At 40.4% G+C, this 24,284-nt stretch overlaps 1 protein-coding gene and 1 pseudogene across 6 annotated transcripts; one reads left to right on the forward strand and one right to left on the reverse strand.

The window, feature by feature from the left end:
* Window positions 1-82: 82 nt before the first annotated feature.
* On the reverse strand, window positions 83-20,121 carry RBMY1F (RNA binding motif protein Y-linked family 1 member F). Of its 6 annotated transcripts, NM_001382382.1 has the most exons (13): window positions 20,033-20,121; window positions 18,059-18,171; window positions 17,489-17,592; window positions 14,292-14,469; window positions 12,224-12,376; window positions 10,099-10,213; window positions 9,033-9,143; window positions 8,482-8,592; window positions 7,937-8,047; window positions 6,903-7,013; window positions 6,728-6,816; window positions 2,848-2,994; window positions 83-254 (listed from the first exon to the last, which is right to left on the reverse strand). In NM_001382382.1, the coding sequence occupies exons 2-13, from the start codon at window positions 18,165-18,167 to the stop codon at window positions 244-246; spliced, it is 1,350 nt and encodes a 449-aa protein (NP_001369311.1). In that variant the 5' UTR covers window positions 18,168-18,171; window positions 20,033-20,121; the 3' UTR covers window positions 83-243. The 6 variants fall into 6 exon arrangements, with proteins under 6 accessions (NP_001369311.1, NP_001369312.1, NP_001369313.1 ...); NM_001382383.1 differs by lacking the exon at window positions 6,903-7,013; NM_001303410.2 differs by lacking the exons at window positions 83-254; window positions 2,848-2,994 and adding an exon at window positions 5,740-6,316 and having other exon boundaries at window positions 6,733-6,816.
* TSPY23P (testis specific protein Y-linked 23, pseudogene) lies at window positions 21,048-23,219 on the forward strand (annotated as a pseudogene).

The raw sequence follows: 24,284 nt of genomic DNA on the forward strand, positions 1-24,284 counted from the left end.
TGAATTGTTTTTCTTATCTTCTATAACATGAAAGGTCAATTTGAGATATAGAAACACTGGAACATTTCACAGCATGGCCTGACATTTCACTGCACTTTTATTTTTTTAACCATGTACAAAGTTGATTAAATACACAAAGGTAGGACTGCTATAGGATGAAAGTGGTGGAGTCAGAGGTCACAATCCAAAGCAAGGTGATAGTCTCTTGAGGATGACACCCTGATTGCTGAATTAGGGTGAGAATCAACTTTCAGCTGTTAACAGGGGACAAGGAGAATGAAGTTATCAACAGTTAACATTATTGGATTAATTGAAATGAATGTTGGCAGAGATTTTGCTGGCTTTACATCAAATTGAGTATAGTACTTCAAACTGAGTATTTGATGAGGGTAAACACTTAATCAAGTTTTCCACATGTAAAATTGAGAATTAATTAAAAGATTATACAACCCACACGTTATGGGTATCTCATATAAATTTATATACACATGTGCAAACTTGCAGTGTGCATATATTTGTCTATATCTAAATATATCCAAATCCATTGATGAACAGTTAGAAATTTAGAAATTATTCTCCCATTTTATCATTCCCTTTCCTAGAATTTTGTCACAAATATAATTTTTCCATCTGTTTGAAGCCTACTCTCTGGAGGCATGTAATGTATGGACACAGTAAAGCCCTGAGGTATCACAGGGTTTTTATCAGAGAAAATAATAACACTGGTGTTATAAAAGATCCATTGTGAGGAGAAAGATATATTTCACATGATTACAAATACAGAAGTATTATTTCATCAAAAGCTGGTATCAGTGAATACAATTTGTTTTTAATGTTTTATTTAAAATATTTAATCTCAAAAGAATTTGTTGAGTAGAATAATGATATTGGTAAGAAATAATGATTCAGAATTTCCTTTAATTTGTTGACTTTTAAAATTAAGTGAAATACTAAAAAGTACTATTTAATGTAGTTTCATGAAGCATTCTCTATGGTTTTATAAAATTAATAGTCTCAATGGAATTTTTTGACACAGAAATGTCCTTATATAATTTTATGATTTATTATTGTACTTTCACTTTATTACTTGCTTGCATGTCACAACTGATAGAAATAAAAATATTTTCATTTACACATATACAAAACATGGATGTTTGTTTATGTTTTCTAGTGAAAGAAAGTCACCAATAATTGTATCTATGTAGGAAAATTTTGACAAGCCCAAAGTTCTTAACTTTCTTTTCTTTTGAAGTTTCATATTTCAGTCTAGGTATGAGATCAAATTGACTATGATTATTTTTTGATTTTACTATGACTACTGAGTTTCTGATATAGTGTTTTATATATGTGTGTGTACATATATATATATATATTCATATAGCGATATATATAGTGACACTCCCCTTAACCCAGGTGGACTCCTCATCCTCACTACATGGTATGGCCCGAAGTGTTACTCCTGGGGCCCCAGCCACTGTTTCAAGGTCCAGAGACTGACCAGCAGACCCCTGAGTCCTTGTCCTCCTGTCCAAGTAATAGCCATAGAAATAGTAAAAGAGTGGCATATTAGACTTCATAATATTTTTAAGGCTGATCTCTTTATAAGCATTTCATGCAGATATTTATGACATTATCTCATTTGTTTTATAGATTTGTAGCTCTAATTTCAAAATCAATTTTTGCTTGAGAGTTATTTCAACATATAACCAAATGTTTGGAGCTATTACATAAAGGTTTCAAGGTTAAAAGTCTGTATCAGCTATTACGTTGGGTAAAACCCATCCAGCACTTAAAAAAATAAGTAATTATTAGGCATGGCCACAGTAGTGGTCTAAAATACACTTTGAAATTCTTCACAAACCAATTTGAAATTATTCCTGATGTAACTGAACACAGTACTTGCTTCTAATTAATAGAAAACAGTGAAAGCATTTTCTGGATACTGGGCCACCTCTGGCCTAGGTTAGACAAGGTGATACAGCTCTGCCTAAGTCTCCTGCTCTCATGGGGACAAACCCCTTGGAAGCCATGGACCAGGACATTATGAAGTCTAACACCCTGATAACACTATGCAGTAGGGACATCCCATGGAGAGATGCATAGAAATAGAAGGAGATGCCCAAGAATCTCAGCAGTCCAGCCCCACAATTTGAGTTATGCTAGCTATGGCACCAGGGAGATGAGAAGACACCTGACAATGTCCCCATCCTGAGCCGTCACTAGATTGTAAACTCCTGAGTGCCCCTGAACCACATTCATTTGGCTGAGAGACTGAGGGCGATTGCAGAGACTGACAGTTAGTAAATTATAATTATGGTTTTAAGCCACTAAGTTTTAGATAATTCTGAAAAGCACTTTAGACTCCTAGAAAAACTGTGTTGTCTACTGACTTCATTGCAGAGAGCTGTAAAGGCCAACATCATGAATGCTAATACCCTGGAAAAGTCAAATCATCGAGACTCTTCTAAGCACAACAGATCTTTAATGTCCCTTCGCTATGGCTGGAGAATAATCTAACATGTATCTGATAGAGTTGTTGGAAAGCCTCTGTTCACATCTCTCAGCCTGGTATGGGTCAACTCTGGTCTGCTTTAATTCTAGGCAACTGCAGCAGCTCACCTTTCATTTAGGTCGTGGCCTACACTGATTTTTTTTGATCACTGACTGTGTCTTTGTCTGTGTGTGTATGTTTTGTGTGTTACCATATTTTATCTGAGGAGGCTAAATAGTAGTACTATAATTGTTTTGTAAACATAAAACATTCCAGGAAGTCAATATTGCTTATCAATCGAGCTTTAAAACAGATACGAAATTAGACATGACAAGATGCCACGTCTAGTATCATACCAAAGCTAGCCAAGCTTGGTGGCCCGTGGATGTTATCCCAGCTACTTGGAAGGCTGATGCAGGAGAATCCATTGAACCCTGGTGATGGAGTTTGCAGTAAAGTGAGATCACACCACTGTGCTCCAGCCTGGGCACCAGAGCGAGACGCTGTCTCAGAAATAAAAAGAGAATAAAATAATAAAATAGGAGAGATCACGGGAGAGAGAAATGCATACCACTGGGTGGGCACTGTGGCTCATGCCTGGATCCCAGCATTTTGAGAGGCTGATGTGGGTGGATCACTAAAGGAAAGGAATTCAAGACCAGCCTGAGCAAATATTGTGAAACCTGGTCTCTACTGAAAATACAAAATATTTGCCAGGATTGGTGTCACATGATTGCAGTCGCAGCTGCTTAGGAGGGTGTGACTGGACAATTGCTTGAACCCGTGATAAGGAGGGAGCAGTGAGCTGAGATCACGCCACTGCACTCCAGCCTAGGTGACAGGGCAGGATTCTTTCTTAAAAAAAAAAAAAATCAGTGAGAGAAAAAGATACAGAGACAAAAAGAAAGAAAGACAGGAAGGAAGAAAGGAAGGGAGGGAAGGAGGAAGGGAATGAAAATTTGTACCTAACAGTTGTAGATACTTTTGGCATACATGTGATATTTTGATACAAGTAATGTGAACTGGTAAGCGAGGGATCAAAGAGGGGATGGGGGTGGGTTAAATTATACTTGCTTAGAAGGAATAATATCTAGTGTTCAGTGGCACAGGATGACTACACTTAATAATGATTTATTGTACATCTCAAAATAATTAATAGAGCGAAGGTGGAATGTCGCTGATACCAAGAAAAGATACGCCAGACTCAGTGAGGTGGAATGTCGCTCATAATGAGAAAAGATATGCCAGACTCAGTGGCTCACGGCTATAATCACAACACTTTGGGAAGCCAGGGAAGGAGGATTATTTCGGTCTGGGAGTTTGAGACCAGCCTGAACAATATATCCAAAGCATTGTCCCTACCACACACACACAAACACAAAAGCTGGGCACGGTGGTTGGTGTGTGTCTGTAATTCCAGCTACTTGGGAGGCTGAAATGGAAGGCTTGCACATTTCAAGCCCGTGTTCAAAGCTGCAGTGAGCTATGATGGTGCCACTGCAGTCTAGGCTGGACAACAGTGTGAGACCTTGTCTCTAAAAAAGAAAAAAGAATCGGTAAGTGCTTGAACTGAAGGATACCCTATTTATTATGTATATATTTGTTCATTGATATAATTATTTTTGTGTTGGAGTCGCACTCTGTCACCCAGGCTAGAGTGCATGGTGCAATATCGGCTCACCGCAGCATCAGGCTCCCAGGTTCAAACCACTGTCCTGCCTGAGCCTCCCAATTAACTGCAACGTACTACAGGCAGGCACCACCATGCCCGGCTAATTTTTGTATTTTTGGTAGAGATGGGGTTTCATGGTGTTGGCCAGCCTGGTCTTCAACTCCTGTCCTAAAGTGCTCTGCAAGCCTCGGCCTCCCCAAGTGTTAGAATTAGAGACCTGAGCCGTCACACATGGACAGTAAGATACACAAGACTCGGGAGATTTATCTTTTCACTTCATCCTCACAATGCTACAGGTGAATGAAAACACTCCATAACATGAATAACTCACTTGAAAATCAAAGTTGGTAACTTCTCCCTTTAAAATTATTTGTACCCTTACCCTGTAAAAATTGATGATTGTGTCAAAATTTTTCAAGAAAATACTTCCTCCTTGCAGATTAGTCTGTCAATTGTAAGAATTATGGACTGCAAAACTTCTGGAACTTGATGTATTTCATTTCTTTAGTTTGTATAATCAGGAAAATTAATTCATTTAGTTATTTCGGTCTAAATATTTGTATCATTCAGTGATGTCTTAAAACTTTAAGCAATCCCGTCGGAAACTTTATGCTGTTGTTTATGTTTTATACACTTCACTTTCCCCTAAGTATGAGGTTTAAAGCGTTTCCATTCATATTATCAATTAAATACGATAGGCTGACAGTGGTGGCACATGCCTATAATCTTAGCACTTCGGGAGTCTGAGGAGGGTGGATCAGGATTTTAAGAACAGCCTGGCAAACAAGGTGAAACGCTGTCTGCACTAAAAATACAAAAATTGGCCCCGCTGTGCGGCACACATATCTAATACCAGTTACTCAGGATGCTGAGGCAGGAGAATAGCTTGGATCCAGAAGGCAGCGGTTGCCATAAGCCAAGACAGAGCCACTGCACCCCAGCCTCGGCGACAAAGCTGTACACTTCATCTCAAAAAAAACTGATACTATCCCAACCACTCTAGATTATTCCTATCTGTAAGAACATATTACTAAACCATTACTTACAACATCCACTGTCAAAATATTCAAGAAAAAATTAACGTGGGAACCTCACAAGACAAAACACTTACTTTCCACTATTTAAACTACGAACATTTAAATTCATTATGCTACGCGCCTGAGAAACTTAGCTGGTTCACTTCTGATTTAGGTGAAAAAAAAAAGTTTTCATTACCGTTATCCTCTTCAGTCACAGAATGCTTCACATAGAATGTTCCGGATGTCTTAAACTTTAGTATCAATACATCTAATGATTTCCTTTGACCTGTACTATTCCTCTAAAAAATAAACGTTTTATGGTGAGGCAGACGGTTTTGTAGTCTTTCTGAAGACTTCTCCAACATTTTAACCTTGTTAGTTTTTAAAGAGAAACAGCCTAATTAGAAAACTTGAGCAGCTTGCAAGGGCGACATAACACATCCCTAATTTTGTACCTATGTTCAAACAAACAAAGGAAAATGTACAACAGACTACACAATTTACTCTCCTATTGAATTTGCTTTAAGCATGCGCGGCTAACAATAACACCAGGCATCTTGCAGTACATGTAAAATTTTATTGTGAAAATTTTAAGGTAGATATTACATCTAAACACTTTTCAAATAGCATCAACAAGTATGAAATTACTTTGAAAACAATTCCTTTTCCTTTGAATACCTCAAAAAATTCATGGAGGAAGTTAGTATCTACCTCTCTCCACAAAACCAACATGTTTCTTTCAGTAATATGCAGGTAACAATGCAGAAATAACATTTCAATTTTTGATTTGCAAACAAGGATTGGTATGCAATAACTATTATTTTCAATGCTTGCTTTAATATCTGCTCGAGTCTCCTTTTTCAGATCGACTCTCCCCACCATCTACTATAGATGCCACATAACTTGAGCTACCATATGCTTCACGAGGATCAGGGAGCACCCTACCCAGAGAAGGCGGATTCCTTTGGTCTTTTCTGCAAACATGCTCACGATCACAATAATGAAAATCACCACAGCTCGAGTAACTCTCCCAACTTCTGCCATATCTATCTCGTGTATTACTATATGCGTGGCAGGTGCTTCCACCATAAGACATCCGAGGCCCTCTTGCAGGTGGTGCACCATGAGAGGTCCCTGCAGGGTTGGTAAAATAATATGTGGGACTACATTTAAACATTTTTACTGCTATCATTAAAGCATGAATTAGTTAAAGTACTATTTGGAAATATCTGCTTTCCTCCGCCTTTGTTGACAGGATATTAATCAAGTCTTTAATAGTCAGAAGGTTTTATTTAAGAGAAGTGTAAGAGTAGTATTTTGCAGCTTAACAAACTTAATTCTAAAGTAAATGCTCAGTCACATTTTCTTAACGTTAACTGAAGTTCTCACCTTCATATCATTCCCTAGGCTTTATACTGTTAAGAATACTCAATATTTAAACATGTTGCATATGCCCTTTACAATTTTCCTTAGAATTTCATTAAAATAACAATCTGGTCTATTAAATAAAATTCTGTAATTTACAAATCCATCCTGGACCCTTACCGTACCTCTGAAGTGCATCTCTATAAGAACTTCCACTTAGATGTTCAGAATGATCTCTACCAAGGGCCTCACCGTAGCCATCATGATAACTAAATTGAAAAAAAAAAAGTCTTTTCAATTTCAGAATGAACAATTTAAGAAATCCATTTGATAAATCCAGATAACATGTTAGTACCTATATCCTCTAGAGGAATGTTCATCCCAACTAGAATGACCATAATCACGGTATGCATAGTCTCTATGTGGTGGAGCATAATCCCTGGTTTCTCGGGAACTTGGATGATTTCTGCGTGCACGAGTTGAAGCAAGGAATTTTAAATTGTCACCTTCTAGTATCCAAAACATAACTACATTACAACTTAAACACAATTAAATTGCCAAACATCTAAATAAAATGCCCACAGAGCCCAAATGCCCAAAATGCCCAAATGCCCAAAAAGCACATGAAACAGATACTCATAATCAGTGATTCAGGAAATGCATTTCAAATAAAAAAGGAGCTTCCACACTTCACACACACACACACTGGAAGGGCAAAAAACTTACAAAAGCAGGAAATAACAAGTGTTTGAGAGGATGTAGATAAATTGCAGCCCTGATACAATGTTAGTTGGAATGAACAATTTAAGAAATCTATTTGATAAATCCAGAAAAAGTTACAGTATCTATATCCTCTAGAGGAATGTTCATCCTGCCTAGAATGACCATAGTCTCAGTATGCCTAGCCTCTAGATGGTGGAGCATAATCCCTAGTTTCTCGGGAACTTGGATGATTTGTGTGTGCATAAGTTTAAGCAACAAATTTTAAATTTTCATCTTCTAGTATCGAATACATGACTAACTTACAACTTTAAATTAAAAGGCCAAACATCTAAATAGGTATTTCTCCAAATAAAATAGGCAAATGCCCAAAAAGGACAAGTGACAGATACTCATATTCAGTGATTCAGAAAATGCATTTCTTTTTGTTTTATTATACTTTAAGTTCTAGCATACATGTGCATGATGAGTTAATGGGTGCAGAAAATGCATTTCAAATCCAAAATGAGATATCATATTTCACACACACAGATGAATGGCAATAGATTTTCAAAAGCAGGAAATAACAAGTGTTTGAGAGGATGTAGATAAATTGGAGCCCTGATACAATGTTAGTTGGAATGAACAATTTAAGAAATCTATTTGACAAATCCAGAAAAATTACAGTACCTATATCCTCTAGAATAACTTTCATGTCGACGAGAATGACCATAATCACGGTATCCATGGCCTCTAGATGGTGGAGCATACTCCCTAGTTTCTCGGGAACTTCGATGATTTCTGTATGCATAAGTTTAAGCAACAAATTTTAAATTTTCAACTTGTAGTATCCGATATATGACTAACTTACAACTTAAACAAAATTAAAAGGCCAAACATCTAAATAGATATTTCTCCAAATAAAATGGGCAAACGCCCAAAAAGCACATGGGACAGATACTCATATTCAGTGATTCAGAAAATGCATTTCTTTTTTTTATTATACTTTAAGTTCTAGGGTCCATGTGCATGATGAGTTAATGGGTGCAGAAAATGCATTTCAAATCCAAAATGGGATATCATATTTCACACACAGATGAATGGCAATAAATTTTCAAAAGCAGGAAATAACAAGTGTTGGAGAGGATGTAGATAAATTGGAGCCCTGATACAATGTTAGTTGGAATGAACAATTTAAGAAATCTATTTGACAAATCCACAAAAAGTTACAGTACCTGTATCCTCTAGAATAACTTTCATCCCGACGAGAATGACCATAATCACGGTATGCATGGCCTCTAGATGGTGGAGCATAATCCCTAGTTTCTCGGGAACTTCGATGATTTCTGTATGCATAAGTTTAAGCAACAAATTTTAAATTTTCAACTTCTAGTATCCGATATATGACTAACTTACAACTTAAACAAAATTAAAAGGCCAAACATCTCAATGGATATTTCTCCAAATAAAATGGGCAAATGCCCAAGATGCACATGGGACAGATACTCATATTCAGTGATTCAGAAGACGCATTTCTTTTTTTTTTATTATACTTTAAGTTCTAGGGTCCATGTGCATGATGAGTTAATGGGTGCAGAAAATGCATTTCAAATCCAAAATGAGATATCATATTTCATACGCACACACTGGAAGGGCAATAAATTTTCAAAAGCAGGAAATAACAAGTGTTTGAGAGGATGTAGATAAATTGGAGCCCTGACAGAACGTTAGTTGGAATGAGCAATTTAAGAAATCTATTTCACAAATCCAGAAAAAGTTACAGTACCTATATCCTCTAGAGGAATGTTCATCCCGATTAGAATGACCATTATCACGGTATGCATAGCCTCTAGATGGTGGAGCATAATCCCTCGTTTCTTGGCAACTTGGATGATTTCTGTGTGCATAAGTTTAAGCAACAAATTTTAAATTTTCAACTTCTAGTATCCAATACATGACTAACTTACAACTTAAACAAAATTAAAAGGCCAAACATCTAAACAGATATTTCTCCAAATAAAATCGGCAAATGCCCAAAAAGCACACGGGACTGATACTCATATTCAGCGATTCAGAAAATGCATTTCTTTTTGTTTCATTATACTTTAAGTTCTAGGATACATGTGCATGATGAGTTAATGGGTGCAGAAAATGCATTTCAAGTCCAAAATGGGATATCATATTTCAAACACACATTTGAATGGCAATAAATTTCAAACAGCAGGAAATAACAAGTGTTTGAGAGGATGTAGATAAATTGGAATGCTGATACAATGCTAGGTTGGAACGGGAAATGATGCAGCTACTATGGAGAAATGTGGTGGTTCCTCAAGAAAACAAACATCATTATCATAGGACCATGCAATTCCACTCATATACACCCAGAACCGAATAAGCATACTCAAACGAATATTGGTGCGTAGAAATACTCGGGTGGAAACAATGCAGATAAAATAATGGGTTAATAGCTTGTGGAAGGAGTGAAGTGCTATGATGTAAATGAACCTTCAGGACATCATGCAAAAGGAGAGGAGACAAATACAAAAAGTCATGTAGTGTTTGAGCACATTAACGTTAAATACCCACAACAGGTAAGTTCAGAGGCAGAACACTGACTGGTGTTATCTAGCAGCTGAGGAAAAGGAGAAAACGGGAGGGACTGCTTAACTGGTAGTAGGAGTTTTAATTTGGAGTGATGAAAATGTTCTGGAACTCGATGGAGGTAGTTGTTGCATGGCACAGAATGTATCAAACACCACTTAACTGTTCACCTTATAATATTTAATTTTGTTATGTGAATTTCATCACCACAGGAAAAAAAAATCAACTGTGCTTTTTAATTTTTCCTTTACCCATCGTTAGTTGCATAACCATCATGTCTTGTTGACATGCGATCATTTCTCCAGGAAGATATTGTCGCTCTGCGTGGAGGAACTCCATAATTCTCTCTTCTTTGTGACATGGGACCTTTAACATTCAAATGATGGAACATTATGTAAAGAACACCAAATCTGAAACGCTATTTTCTCTTCTCTCAAACAACTTTTTAAAATTATTTCTTCTATGACTCCATTCTTTGTTTCCTAAATTACTAGACAGACATGACACTGTGAATATTTCTCATGGCTTTGGATAATCCCATGGCTCCCACAAGGCCAGTTCTTCTAATGAAGCTGAAGGCAAACATTAATGCTTAGGTAAAAGTTCATTTGTAATGGTTAATAACTACTTAGTTATTATTTTCCTTTCCATATAAATTACTGATGACTGTGAGTGACACAGGGAAAACACGTAAAACCATCAAACTCTTCACTGATTTTAAAGTTTACATACATTGTCCTTTCTCAGCCAAAGAAGGTAGATTTTCCAATATCATTCAGTCCATCTCACACACACATAAATACAGCTACCTTTAAATGACTATATGCTAAATGTTTACATAAAAGTTCTTTAGCTGGTTGGCTCTATCTTAAATGTTGACAAATTAAAATGTATTAGTGAAGATTTTCTAATGATGGTCAAGATTTGCTTTTACTGCAAAGAAAGCAATGCTATGCAAGGGGTCATTACAACATTGTTGCTGTTTCAAAATAGAAAGTTTCTCCTCTAATATATTCTTCACTTGCTATTCCTTAGAGGTCAGTGTTTCACATATGATACCTTCACTGGCTAATTTTCCAATGGAAATGTGTTGGCTTGGGTATCCTGAAGCCAATAAATACCTCCCTTCACCGATACTCTACGTATGAAATGTAAAATTGAAAATGGCAGTTTTTAACTTCCTCCATATGCGGATGGAGGACTAAGAAAGAATTTTAATTTGCTCTGCTTAAACTTCCTTGCTAAGAACTTTTATTTATTGTCTTATTTTCTTCTGTTCAGTCTGCAGTCTTACAATTCTTCTCAAAAGTATTACTTGCATTCAACCCTACCGCTCACCTCATGTTGCTTAGTTCTAAATTCTCTCCTCAAATAATTTCAAATCTTACACTAAGGATCTTGTGTTAATGTTTAAACATCCCGGTACAATCTCAATTACTGATTTACATACACCTATATTTCACAACTCTGCATTTCTGTGATATCCACTTAATTTAAGAATTTTGGACTCCTACGTGTCTACCTCTCGAGCCTTAAATTTATTTTTAAATCATATTTAAGCCCAATGACTCCTTGTCTGCTAAATGCTCTTGTAGTTCTTTTGAATCTTCATGCACGCAGTGAGTATGCCTTGCACATACGCATTACTGAGGTCTCAGAAGCTGGATGGCCAGGCTTAGCGGCTCACACTGTGAGTGAGTGTGGAAGGCTGAGGCAGCTGGACCGCTTGAGCCCCGGGCTTTAACATCAGTTTTGACAATGTAGTCAGATCCTCTCTCTACAAAAACATAGGGAAAAAAATGTAGCTAGGTGTGCTGCTGCATGCCTGTAGTTGCACAAACTCGGGAGGCTGAAACAGCAGAATTGCTTGAGCCCAGGAATTTGAGGCTATAGTAAGCCGTCATCTCACAAATTTGAGGCTACAGTAAGCCGTCATCTCACATAGTGCACTCTCACCTAGTAAGAGCAAGACTCCAACCCAGCAAAGTCACCGAACAAGCAATTTTTAGAATGGGACACCAGGGGACTTAGGAAATGGAAGAATTAATTAGATCAAGAAGCCTACCATCAAAGAATACTGCTAGGAACTTTTAGAAAAATTAAGGGGAATTTTCTAGCCAACACAGGATTAAAAGGAACGTTGGCCTCACTCTAATCACTTCTTTGATCTGCAATGAGAAGCTCAAGTATTTCTTCAACATAAATCTGAAATGTACCTAGTGAGATAGAAACTATAATAAAAGCTATCAATCAGTAATTATGCTCACGTATGTGTCACTTCTCTTTTGTTCAATGAACTTAAAGCTAAGCATTCAGGTAAAACGGCTCATTTTTAGTCATACAAAAACTACGGTCTTTCTGTCAGGCAGCATTTACCTTGGCTTCCCATCCAACTATTGCTTCTTGCCACAGCAGAAGGAGCAGATTTTTTCGGAGGAGGACCTCCACTTCTTGAAGATGGACCTCTTTTAACTGGAATGAGTCCCCTAGAATAACTCATCTTGAGATCAGGAGTGTATCCACCATCATCTGTATTTCAAACAAAATCTTTTTAGTTAACTGACGTCACTGTTTCTTAAATGGCTAAGTTTTAGTTGTTTACAAATATTTTCTACATTTTATAACAAATTCACATTTTGTCTAAACTAATAAAATTAGCATTCCTACAAGGTATTAGTACACTTCAAGCATTAAAAGTTCATTTAGAAAATCTAGAAAGAAACTCAAGTATCATAATATATCGGTATGAAGGAGAGATGTGGGAAAATGGGGAGTGAACGGGGGCAGAAATCTATCACTAAAATATCCAAATATAATATACATAAAAATATTAAAAGAAAAATGATAAATGACTGTTTATATCATTCTGTAATGAGGAAAAATTTTCAAAGCACATCATAAAGATAAACTAATTTCCATTCAAAGAAACTCAAATATTTCCAATACCAAGAAATCACATATCAGGAAAATACATTGTCTCTAAAATTTGTTAACACAATATAGAATTCTTAAAATTCCCTTATGAGACACTAATTTTCAGATGAGACTATGCTGAATTTTAACAGTCTTTAAGAATTGCATATTCGGTAATATAAACATATTTTTATACATCTACAAAAACGTAGATATATGCCAATTGCCAGGTGGTGTTACAGGTTAGAATTTATGTATACATTCTCGTCCGTGGCAGAGTATAATTGAAGCTCACCCTCAAGATCAGTGGAGGCAAAACAGCCGTGAAGCTACGCATCTTAAAATGGAGCAAACACTGCAATTTCAACTTGAAAACAATCTCCAATTAATTACATGTCTGGTTATTAAAACTCCAAGCTAATTGTTAGAGTTTTGAAGGTTGGTTAATAGATAATACAAGTTAACCAACAGGTTTATTTATTTATTTATTCAGATGCACTCTTGCCCTATCACGCAGGCTGGAGTGCCATGGCATAACCTTGGCTCACTGCAGCTTTTGCCTCCCAGGTTCCTGTGATTCTCCTGCCTCAGCCTCCTGAGTAGCTGGGATTACAGGTGCACGCCACCAGGCCCAGGCAAATTTTTTTGTATCTTTAGGAGAGACAGGGTTTCACCATGTTGGCCAGGCTGGTCTGGAACTCCTGACCTCGTGGTCCACCTCCCCTGTACTCCCCAGGTGCTGAGGTGACAGGCGTGAGCCACCTCGCACAGCCCATCCAATAGTTTTTTCTTTTTCCTTTTTTTTAAATATATGGTTTGTTTTTCTTTTATATGTAAAGATGGACCCCTCATTTCTATTAAGTAAATCACTCATAAATATCATTTTCAGTGACTCAGCCTCCAGCAAAGAAAGATTCATACATATCTGTGAAGCAGTGGTTTTTAGATCTTTCCAGAGTCACAGACTCTTTTCAGAAATTAAAGTTCTACATTTCTTAAATTGAAAATGCTTTACGGCAGGCCAATGTACAAACTCTCTGTATCAAAATTACAAAGCAATACATTTGCATAGATGTTTCCACATGTAGACACAAGAAAACAAATACTGCAAAATCAATCTTCAGTATTCAGTTACTTCTTCCTGTTGGAAAATTTTAAATATTACATCGTACTTTGATAATACAACTGACACGAAGTTCTGGGCCCTAAAGTAGAAAACTCTAAAGTATAATGAATATAAATGAGTTCTGCAGAAAACCGGTTGAGTACAGGCAATCAGCATTCACAAACACAACTCAGTTTCAAATGTGTGTTACTTCAGTGCAAACTTATTATAATTGTTAAACAAATTTTAGATATTAGTTCAATCATTCTTATAATACACCTTTATAGTACTTAGAAATAAGTTTGCTTATTATCAATAAGCTAATTTTCTCTTCATACAGGAAAGAAAAAAATTAAGAAATTTCAATATCGTCAAACTTATTTTCTTTCAGTCCTATGGTTCCATCTTTATATTTTAAAACATTACCCAGGTGCCCTTCATGTGAGGGAAGCCACCCTCTTGTTCCTCCACTGCTTCCTCTTGCAGATCTCAGACTTCCTGAAGGGCTTCTGTTTCTCGAAGAAGCTGGTGGTCTCCGCCTACCACCACTTTGAAAAGATGGTTTCTTGGCTTGTTCTACTTTTATTGCTTTTCCATGCAAAGACTAGAAGTATTAAGGGTACTATCAATAACACTGGCACATTTAACGTAAGCACATTTTACAAACATTTTTACATCAACTGTAGTTCAATTTGAGGTATTTTCTCCCAAAAGGAAACTTTTTTTTTCTTCTAAAATGAACACATCTTTCGCAATGCCAAATTTGAGATAGTTACTGAGCACATGCCTTCCATTAAGGGATCAAACACAAATTCTATTATTCAAATTCCTTGAAAACTTCTCCATCATTAAAAAAAAAAAAAACTCAAACATAAAAAAAAAGTTTGACCCATCACACATTCTGTGGAAGAATGTGGCACATCTGTTTTTTACAATATATAATCCACTTCATCTTTGTAGTCACATCACTGATTTGAAAGTTGCAGTGTCCCAATGAAACTCGTGTCATTTAAAAAAAAAATGAGCTTACTTTTTCAGAGTGATTAGGCACATTACTCATTATGAGTTGTTTCTTGTTGGATTTGCTAACACTTCCATAAAATGTCCCCATATGATTTACAATTCTATATTGACTCTAAAAATGTTTCTGTAAATGTGATCCTTGTTTGATCTCATTAAGTTTTCTTGCCTTACTCATTTCTTACATTGCCTTAGACGTGCCCCTAAAAAACGAATCTTAATATAGTACTTCAGGTAATTTCTCAGAAATGCTTAACTATCCTAATTAATTTCATAATAACATTTTTCACTGTAATCTTTTCTACAGGCCACAGCAATTTTTGAAAACAGTTCAGCTAATAACGCGATTTAAAAATTACATGGCTTTTGTTATTTGGAGGAAGGACTTAAATCCCTGAACAAGACCGCTTGCAGCCACATCGCCCGTTGTTCCTACCTTGAAACTTCTTTTGTTATTTCTGGGCTCAAAATATTTTCCCCAGATTTGCCCACGGCTGCTTCCTTCCCAGTGTTCTGAAGTCAGCCAAAATTCCTTAACTGTTAATTCCCCCTGAAAACTCAAAGAACCTCCTTTATTGGCCATCTTAACATTAATGTGCATACAACATTCATAGTTATTTTAACACAATAAAATACGTGAGATGAAGTAATTTAGAAATAACGTTGGCTGGGCGCGGTGGCTCACACCGGTAATCCCAATACTTTGGGAGGCCAAGGCGGGTGGATCATGAGGTGAAGAGATAGAGCTCACCCTGGCTAACAGGGTGAAACCCCATCCCTACTCAAAGTACAAAATTAGCTGGGCGTGGTGGCGCGCCTCTGTAGCCCCTGGTACTGGGAGGCTGAGGCAGGAGAATCGCTTGAACCCGGGAGGCGGAGGTTGCAGTAAGCCAAGATGGCCCCACTGCAATCCAGCCTAGGGCACACAGCGAGTCTCCATCTTAAAAAACAAACAAACGAACAAAAACTTTACACAAATTATCTGCCCTTTTGCTTGAAAACTAGAGGGAAAAAAGAAATTATCATAGATTCCTATACAGAAGTCAAAATTATCTCCATACCTACCACAAAGCCATGAACCAAAAGCAACTCTCGGTTTCTACCACAGCTTGAAATACTAATTTATAAGGGTGAATAAAAATGTACTTTCTGCTATGTGACAGGAAGTGTGCTAGATGTAACAGAAAGAAAAGCAACTAGCAAGACTTAAATATGCACTATATACAATTTCACGATCAATAGATTAATACATAGTACAGCGAGTAGAAAATACCTACAATACGCAATGAGGAAGAAAATTATGAAATCTAAGTGGTTTTTGAAGCATAAATTTTATTTATGAGCCATACACAGGGAAGGATAATTCTCAAGAAGTCTAAAAAAGCACTTTGGGAATAGCGTGAAGACTAACAGGACCTAAAAACAGATTGGGATAACGTTATTTATTTATTTTATTTATTTTTTGTTTTTTTGAGACGGATTCTTGCTCTGTTGCCAGGCTGGAGTGCATCGGCGTGATCTCGGCTCACTGCAACCTCTGCCTCCTTGGGTTTAACCGATTCCCCTGCCTCAGCCTACTGACTAGCTGGAACTACAGGCACACACAACCAGATGCAGCTAATTTTTTTTTTTGTATTTTAGTAGCGACAGGGTTTCACCATGTTGGCCATTATGGTTTCTTTCTCCTGACCTTGTGATCTGCCCGCCTTGGCCACCCAAAGCGCTGGGATTACACGCATGAGCCACCATGCCCGGCATGATTGGGATAATGTTATAAAGCAAAAAACACTAAAGAGCACAGAATGGAATGCTCTTGACTACAATGTAAAGGAATTCAATAATTAATATCATTACACAGAAGTTTAAAGCTTAAGTAAACACACAATCTCTAGATTTAAGACTCAACAGGACAAGAGACCATTGGTTCAATCAAAACAAGTCCTCAAACACACTGGGGAAATGAGTAATTAGCTATTCATGTTACATAAATCACTCTGGTGACAGGAAAGAAATGTCCTTAGGAGAAAAAGCAAGCATGGAGCCAAGAATGCCAGTTACTTCTTCTGTTATCTGACTTCAATGTTCTCATATTATTTTCTATTTTCAACTACTTAACCTTTCCGTAAATGTAAAGGTCTTATTTAAATACACTTTCGCAAGAATATATTTTCATAAAATATATTCTTCAAGAAGGAAAGAGTCTTTCCTTCTTGTGCATCTGTCTAGATGTCTATCCAGTTTGTCTACGCTCTAAAAGTATTTCCATGAATTGGATGTACTTCAATTAATAGCATTTAATAAATATTGACTTATTACTTTCATTTACATGAGGGTTCCTTATAAGTTTTAAAGCTCTTCAAAACCTTTTAAAATCTATGTGCACTCATATCGAAATACAAACATAGAAAAAGGTTACCAAATATTAATTTATATAATGTTAATTCCAATACCCTTCCAACTACACTTGCACGTATATGGCACAAAAAAGAGGATGGCTTCATATGTCATTCTACTATCTTCAAAAGTTTAGCAATATTAAAAAGACCTAGAAATATTGTTAATTGAAGAACAGAGTTAGAATATTAGTAATAAGGGACTCTTACCGTTCCATTCATATCTTTCGCAGCATTCTTAGCATCTGCAGGGTTCTCAAAAGTAATAAATGCAAAGCCTCTGGATTTGCTGGTTCGATCCTTTATCAAAAGAACTAAAATATATGAAAACATTTTACATTCATATAATGGACTCATCAAGGTACTCACCATCTAAAGGTTACATCAAGCTAAAAAATAATTGCATTTCACATCACTATTATGGTTCTCGATACTCAATCACCCCTACAGTCAGTCTAGTTTATTCCAGTTTGTTTCGGAACTCCACAGCACATTTACTTTCCCTCATTTTCCTTTCTAAGTAGTAGGTTATCCTTTCCATAGAACCTTAACCTACTACTATGAGAATTTTCCAAATATCAAACAGATACTACAAAATAAGAGTTTAAAATGCATAAGGCATTTTAATGTAGGTATACAATGAACTTTGAAAAAATATATTTTTTCAAAACATATATATATAACATACATATTTTAAACATACCTATTGAAATATACATGTGAAAATACACACACACACACACACACACACACACACACACACACGGTTTTAAGAGTTACCTTCTGATATGGGACCATGTTTCCCAAATACTGCTTTAAGCATCTTCTCATTGGTTTCTCTATTGAGGCCACCAATGAAAAGCTTGCCAGGATGATCTGCTTCTACCATTGTGCTGTAAATGGTAAAAAATTATCTATATTTAGATATAAATAAGCTAAAAAGATAAAATTTTATTACATACTGTGCTGAAAACCCAAGTAAAATTCCCTTCCTGAGGCTGACATCTTTTTAGTATTTCTTACTTTATATATGTAAAATTTGTAACACTCAGAGCAAAGGGGCACTAACTTCATGGACAAATGCTGCATTTTAGTATGTACCTGACAAAAATCTCATTTCTAAAAATTAGATAAGAAAAGCTATTGTAATTTTCCTCAGTTGCAATATGAAGAATGTCCCCATTTAAATAATTTTATTTGAAAAGAATCTATTTATGAGGTACGGTGTGATGTTTTGCATATTTTCTTTCTTGAGATGTCTGTCTCCTGTCGCCAAAGTGAACTGCTCACTGCAGGCTCTTCCACCCAGCCTCAACTGATCTTCCTACATCTCAGCTTCCCAAGTAGCTAGTACTACAGGCGCTTTCTACCACAGCTGGGCAATTTTTTGTATTTTTAAAAATAGACAAGGGTTTCCCCATAGTGCCCAAGCTAGTCTCCAAATCTTCGGCTCAAGTGTTCTGCCGGCTTGGGACTACCAAAGTGATGGGATTTCAAGGGTGACTCACCACACTCAGCATGATATTTGGATAAGAGATTAAATCAAGCTACTTAAAATGTTCTAGGAGGAGAATATTTTAAATATTTTACCATCTTTTAGTGATTTGAAATATACAATAGGTCAAAGATCCCCAAACCCTAGCCTTCAACCCGTACCTATCTGTGGCCTGAATGTGATGCCGGAGGATGACCTGCAATACCTGTCTGTGGAGAATGTAACGCCTGAGGATGACCTGAGGTGGTACAGTTTTATCCGGAAACCATCCTCCCTACTCCCTCGCTGGCCCTCCCTGTCCCCGTGACAGCCTCACTGCCCCACCTGGCCTCTGTCACATTGCTCCTACCGGAAGACCCGCCCCACCACGTGCCCCTCGGAGGCCTGCCGCCAGCCCCCACTCCCAAACCTGTCCACCTCGCCGCCTTCTTCCCCTGCGCAACCTTTGTCTGAGGAAAAACTGACTTCCACTAAACCAGTCCCTGATGCGAAAATAGCAATGAAAGAGTCCAGTACGTTACCCAGGCTGGTCTCAAACTCCTGACTTCAAGCCATCCTCCGACCTCCACTTCCCAAAATGCTAGGACTACAGGAGTAAGGCAGTGTGCCAGGTTAACAGAATAACTTAAGCGCATCTATTTTGTTCCAGTTTTCGGCTATCTAACTCCATTTGTCTCGATTACACCCACTTATTCGGTTTAAACTATTTACGGTGCCAAAGACACATGAAACGTTTCAAATACTGTCATACAACGAAGGAGACAATCACAGGCTTTACAGAGGCAAACTGAAACTCAGATTATTTGTGGCCCCATATTTCTACATACACTAAAGTAACACAATTTATGTCAAAATTTGATAATTCTTCCAAGCAAATCAGACACGCGACACGTGCTAACTAAAAGTGTGACTTTTTAATCGCAGTGTTTAAGTGTATTGCCTGTATTCTGAATTATCACCACATTCACAGAGAAAACCCGCTTTAATAAAAAGTGCACATGAAAACCAATGGCGGCTTAGCACCATCTCCCACAACTAGTCGGACACATTAGGCAGTTAAAGGTAGAATCCTCAGGAAAAATCAATGAGTTTAACGAAAGTGAGTCTCTTAATAGCACTGAGGAGTTCTTTCCCCACTGACTCCTCCCGTAATTCAACACCCACACATAGAAAACCCATCCCCTTTTATAGACAAAATCCCAAACCTTCGCTTTCTATTCTTGCCGAGAGACCCAGCTGTCCAGAGAAACAGAAAATACCTGCGCTTTTTAGTAGGACAAAGAGCCTGAGGTTCGCCTGGCCCTCAGGCCGTACGTAACCGGCTTCGGAACACCACAGGGCCAACTGCGGGAGGGACAGCTGGAGCTACCCTGAGAGGGAAGGACGCCGGAAGCCGTGCCCGGAAATCCCGCCTACCTCCAGCGGCCAATCATTGCGAAGGCGGTGGGCGTCAGCCAGTTACTGCAAAGGCTGTGGGCGTGTCCTGAGGCCGCTCCGCCCCAGCAGGCCTGCGGCTCCATCATCTCGCGGTAACTCTTCCGAGACCACGCTTGTGCCGCGTGGCGGGCCGCGGTGGATTAAGGCACACGCGAACTGTGAGCCCTTTGCAATTGTGGGCATGGAAGACCTACACCCTAACTGGCATCCTGAGTGTGGCAAGACATTAACTAACCCACAGGGAACACATGAAACATCTCACTTCATTAGGCAGGCTAGGCTGATGGTACCGAATATTGCAGATCCAGAGGGGAGAGAGAGGGACCAGCGCTGCTGCAGGGGCGAGGGCAGCAGCGGTGGCTTGGGGGGATTGGGGCAGGGCGGGTGCGTGGGACTAAAGTCGACTGGTACGTTGCTGAGGTGGAATTCATCTGCACCAGAAGCTGAAACCCTGCAAGGATTCTGTCAGGTCTAGGCAAATACATACTCCGAGTTCCATGGTTCCTCCCTGAGGATGCTGTACTCACAGGGGCATTCCAAAGGACTTCTCATCCTGTGCCCTGGGCACACGGGAGGCCTACCGCCATGGTCGCCAATGCAGTGATCCGTGTGCACTGCTTTGCTGGTGCAGAGGCTCTCACAAGTGCAGTGGTGGCCGTGTGCCTGCTAGCGGGGCTCTGGAAGCCAGGGCCTTGGCATCCGACTCCAGGGCTGCCGTGCGCAGCTAACCCTGCTGGGTAGCTGAGCCCCAGTGTGAGTGTGACAGGCTAAGGGCCCTGTGGGGCCCCCCAGGAACCCTGTTCCACATAGGTGTAGGATGTGGTTCTCAGCAGGGCAAGGCCCGCAGGCCTCTCCTGGAGTTGCCCCCAGAGTTGACGGGTGCCGGGGGGGTGGGGTGGGAGGCACAGGCTTTGCTCTGTTGGAGCCTCAAGGAGGGCACCATGTTAAGGCTGGAGGCTGTGCAGGAGAGGATGGTCTGTGCACAGAGCAGGAAGACAACCCTGCGGGGAGAGGCATGCTAGTGGGGGATGACATCATTGCAGAGATGGAGGTGGTGGCCAAGGAGGAAGGCCAATGTGGAGCCACAGCAGGAGGACCTGCAGGCACAGCCTGGCCCTGGCCCCAGTACGCCCCGGCCAGCAACAGACTCGCTGGACGTCCTTCACTTGGAGCTCGGCTACGTGAATGTCCCAGGCCACAGGGCATCCCCGGCTTCTGGGCCAGAGCCATATCCTTGCAGCTGCCAATTCGGGATGGTTGGCAGCAGGGGATGGGCGCGGAGCTCCCGGGAGCGGAGGTGGGGGGAAACAAGGTGGTAGGCACTGGCGGTCAGCCAGGATTCAGGGCATGGGGGACAACAAGGGGAACTGAGAACAGGCTCATGCAGATAGGAGGGCAGCTTAATTGCATGTGCCCTGAGGGCATGTGGTAGGGACAGGAAGCCAAGCACAGCACTCACCAGGGAGAATAGCAGCGCCAAGGACCCATCATAACAGCAGAAAGTTGAAGGATACGATTCACCGGGAAAGTCCCTGGAGGAAGGGGAGTCTGCATGCCCATGCCAGCCACGGAACTTCCCTGCTCCCCTTGCCTGTGTCCAGCAAGCTTACCCCAGAAACACAAGGTGCTCAAGACTCGGTGTCACTGTGCACGGGGCTGCTGTCCTATGCAAGGCAGGCACTATCTCCCCAGACACAATTTCTTCCCTCTGCCAGCGCTGCACCCAAAGATGTTTAGGCCCTGAGTATATATAAGCTCCCTTGAAACCACTCGAGCTCCACGGGGAGAGCCAGGCACAGCCCCGTAGCTACTTCTACCCACAGCGGTTGCCTGGGGTGGACACGTGCACCCCTCAGGGAGACCAGGAGAAGGAGAGACCGCACACCCAGACAGCAGCAGAGCCTGTCCAGCACCCAGCACAGGAGGGCCTCCTGCAGCTCAGAAACGCCGAGCAAGTAGTCGCCTCACACAACAACACCCCGCCCCCAACCCCCTGCCCACTTCTTCAGTGCCAGTCCCTGGTCAGAGCAGGTTGTCTGGGCCTGCCTCCACCCACCACCAAGACCACCACAGCTCTGATGGTGCCCTCCACGCCAGACAGAGACAGAGGACCTGGAAGGGAAGGTGCCCTGCCCCACACTCTCCGTGCTCTTGCAAAGTTGCAGGGTGTTTCCTTGCACGCCCACCCAATCATCTGGCGGCTCCTTGACCAGAGGCAGATTGTGCGGCACACCGAGATGTTGGCCGGGATCACAAATGATGATGAAGTCCTGCTAAGCTACGTACGTGATGGATTTGCAGGTCAGGCTAAGGAGCCTGAGTCTTCGGGAGGGGTCTGGTGTCTGGGTCAGGTTGAGGTACCCCTGGGACCCGGGGGTGTCTCAATGAGAGAGTTGGGAAGGAGAAACACATGCTTCACCCCAGCTAACAGGTCACCTCACCCCAGCTACATGAAATGCTCCTTTGAGTACGTCCTCTTTCTCCTTCTTGGCCAGGTAAGGGGAGGAAAGCAACTCTTCCGGGTACCGGCAGCAGGATGAAGTTTTCCTTTTATCACAGTCTCTACTTCCACAATGAAGTGATCATTCAGGAGTACTGCCTTGGCATCCTCGGTAAGGAGCGCCTCCCAGCATGGTAGGGGAGCTGGTGTGTGGGAGGGTAGGTCTGGCATGAACCTTCCTGACTCCTCTCTCTGCAGGATACGGGATGTCTCATTCCACTGCAGTCTAGTGGTTGTGGGATCATGAAGGTCAAGCCTCCAGCTGCAGGCCGTACAGCTCCTACCTGACCTTCTTCAGCTGGTTGGCTGACCATGACTGCCCAGGTTCTGGCAGGATTGCTGAGGTGAGCGCCAGGTAGGGCATCATGGGAAAGGATCTTGCTGGTCATTCCTTGGCCTCTGGGGAACTGGCTTTGAGCCATGACCTGAACTAACCTGTACCCACTTCTGCAGGCCCCCAGATCATCAGCCAGAACCTGTAGCTCAATCCCCTGCAGTACTTCTCCAGGGAGGGAGGCCATTAGAGAGTGAACAGAGAGGAGGCCAGGTGAACAGTCTAGGGCTGGGGACTGAGAGACCTTTGATTCCTGGAGTTGTGCCCCACATGGAGAATCCAAGCCTCAGGGAGGTGACTGCAGTGAGCGATCCCACGCCATCCATGGGCTGGCGGAGAAATGGCCATCAAAGAACTTTAACACCCACATTTTGGGATTGGGGCACCTTCAGCCGCCTAAGAGGAATAAGTGTCTAAGGTCAGTGGGTGAGAAGCAAGGCTCAAGTGGTAGCTGTCTCATCATCCCTCACCGGCTGAGGCCTGAGGCCGGCTACCACTTGGGGCTCAGTTTGGGCTCAACCAGGGCCCTCTCACCCTCCACGCAGATATCCTCCCAAGGCCCCTCTCTACGTCCTCCCTGATGGGCTGTCCCAGGCCCATCATTTTTTGTTACAATGATCCCAGGCTTCCCTGAGATGCTTTCTGCCCTCCGCCATCATCACTCACACTGCGCTGCCCCACCCTGCCCCACCAGACAAGAGAGGCCACTACTCAGGGAATCTGGAAAACCACACTGGGCTCACAGAGGAGGAAATGTGAAGAGATGGCAAAATGAATGAGCCCTTCATTGTGTGTCCAGGGAGGAAACCTGGCTGAGAATTAAGGCCCACCTGAGTAGTGGTGTGGACACCGAGTGTTACTTATCATGATGAAGATCTGCTTTGTCACATCCCCTAATATTAATGTGGAAGTTATTTTCTTGGAATAGTGAAACAATGAGGACAAAGAAATAGTGTTTGTTCAGATTTGTATAGAAATACTGCAGACGCATCCATTTTCCATTACAATTCTTATGTGAGACTTGAAGTGTTTATTGAGTTTTAAGATACATTTTGATTGTTCTGCCCCTGGGAAATTTTATGATCATGTTTGTATGATCATAGATTCTATGTAGAGACATAGAATCCGGAAAAGTTTTGAGTGACTTTCAGCTTCTTTTACAGTACTTACTTGTAAATTTTGAATTTTTTCCCTTATAGTTCTCTTCAGTTTATTATTTTAATTTTATATGTAAGGTGAT

This window comes from Homo sapiens, chromosome Y (genome assembly GCF_000001405.40).
Source record: "Homo sapiens chromosome Y, GRCh38.p14 Primary Assembly".
Classification (NCBI taxonomy): domain Eukaryota; kingdom Metazoa; phylum Chordata; class Mammalia; order Primates; family Hominidae; genus Homo; species Homo sapiens.

Coding starts and splice junctions, on each gene's coding strand:
- RBMY1F (NM_152585.3), bottom strand. CDS start 18,167: ATGGTAGAAGCAGATCATCCTGGCAAGCTTTTCATTGGTGGCCTCAAT. Junction 12,377..14,291: donor CTCACATGAAGGGCACCTGG/GTAATGTTTTAA, acceptor TTTGAAATACAG/ATGATGGTGGATACACTCCT. Junction 6,317..6,727: donor AGATGCACTTCAGAGGTACG/GTAAGGGTCCAG, acceptor CCAACCCTGCAG/GGACCTCTCATGGTGCACCA.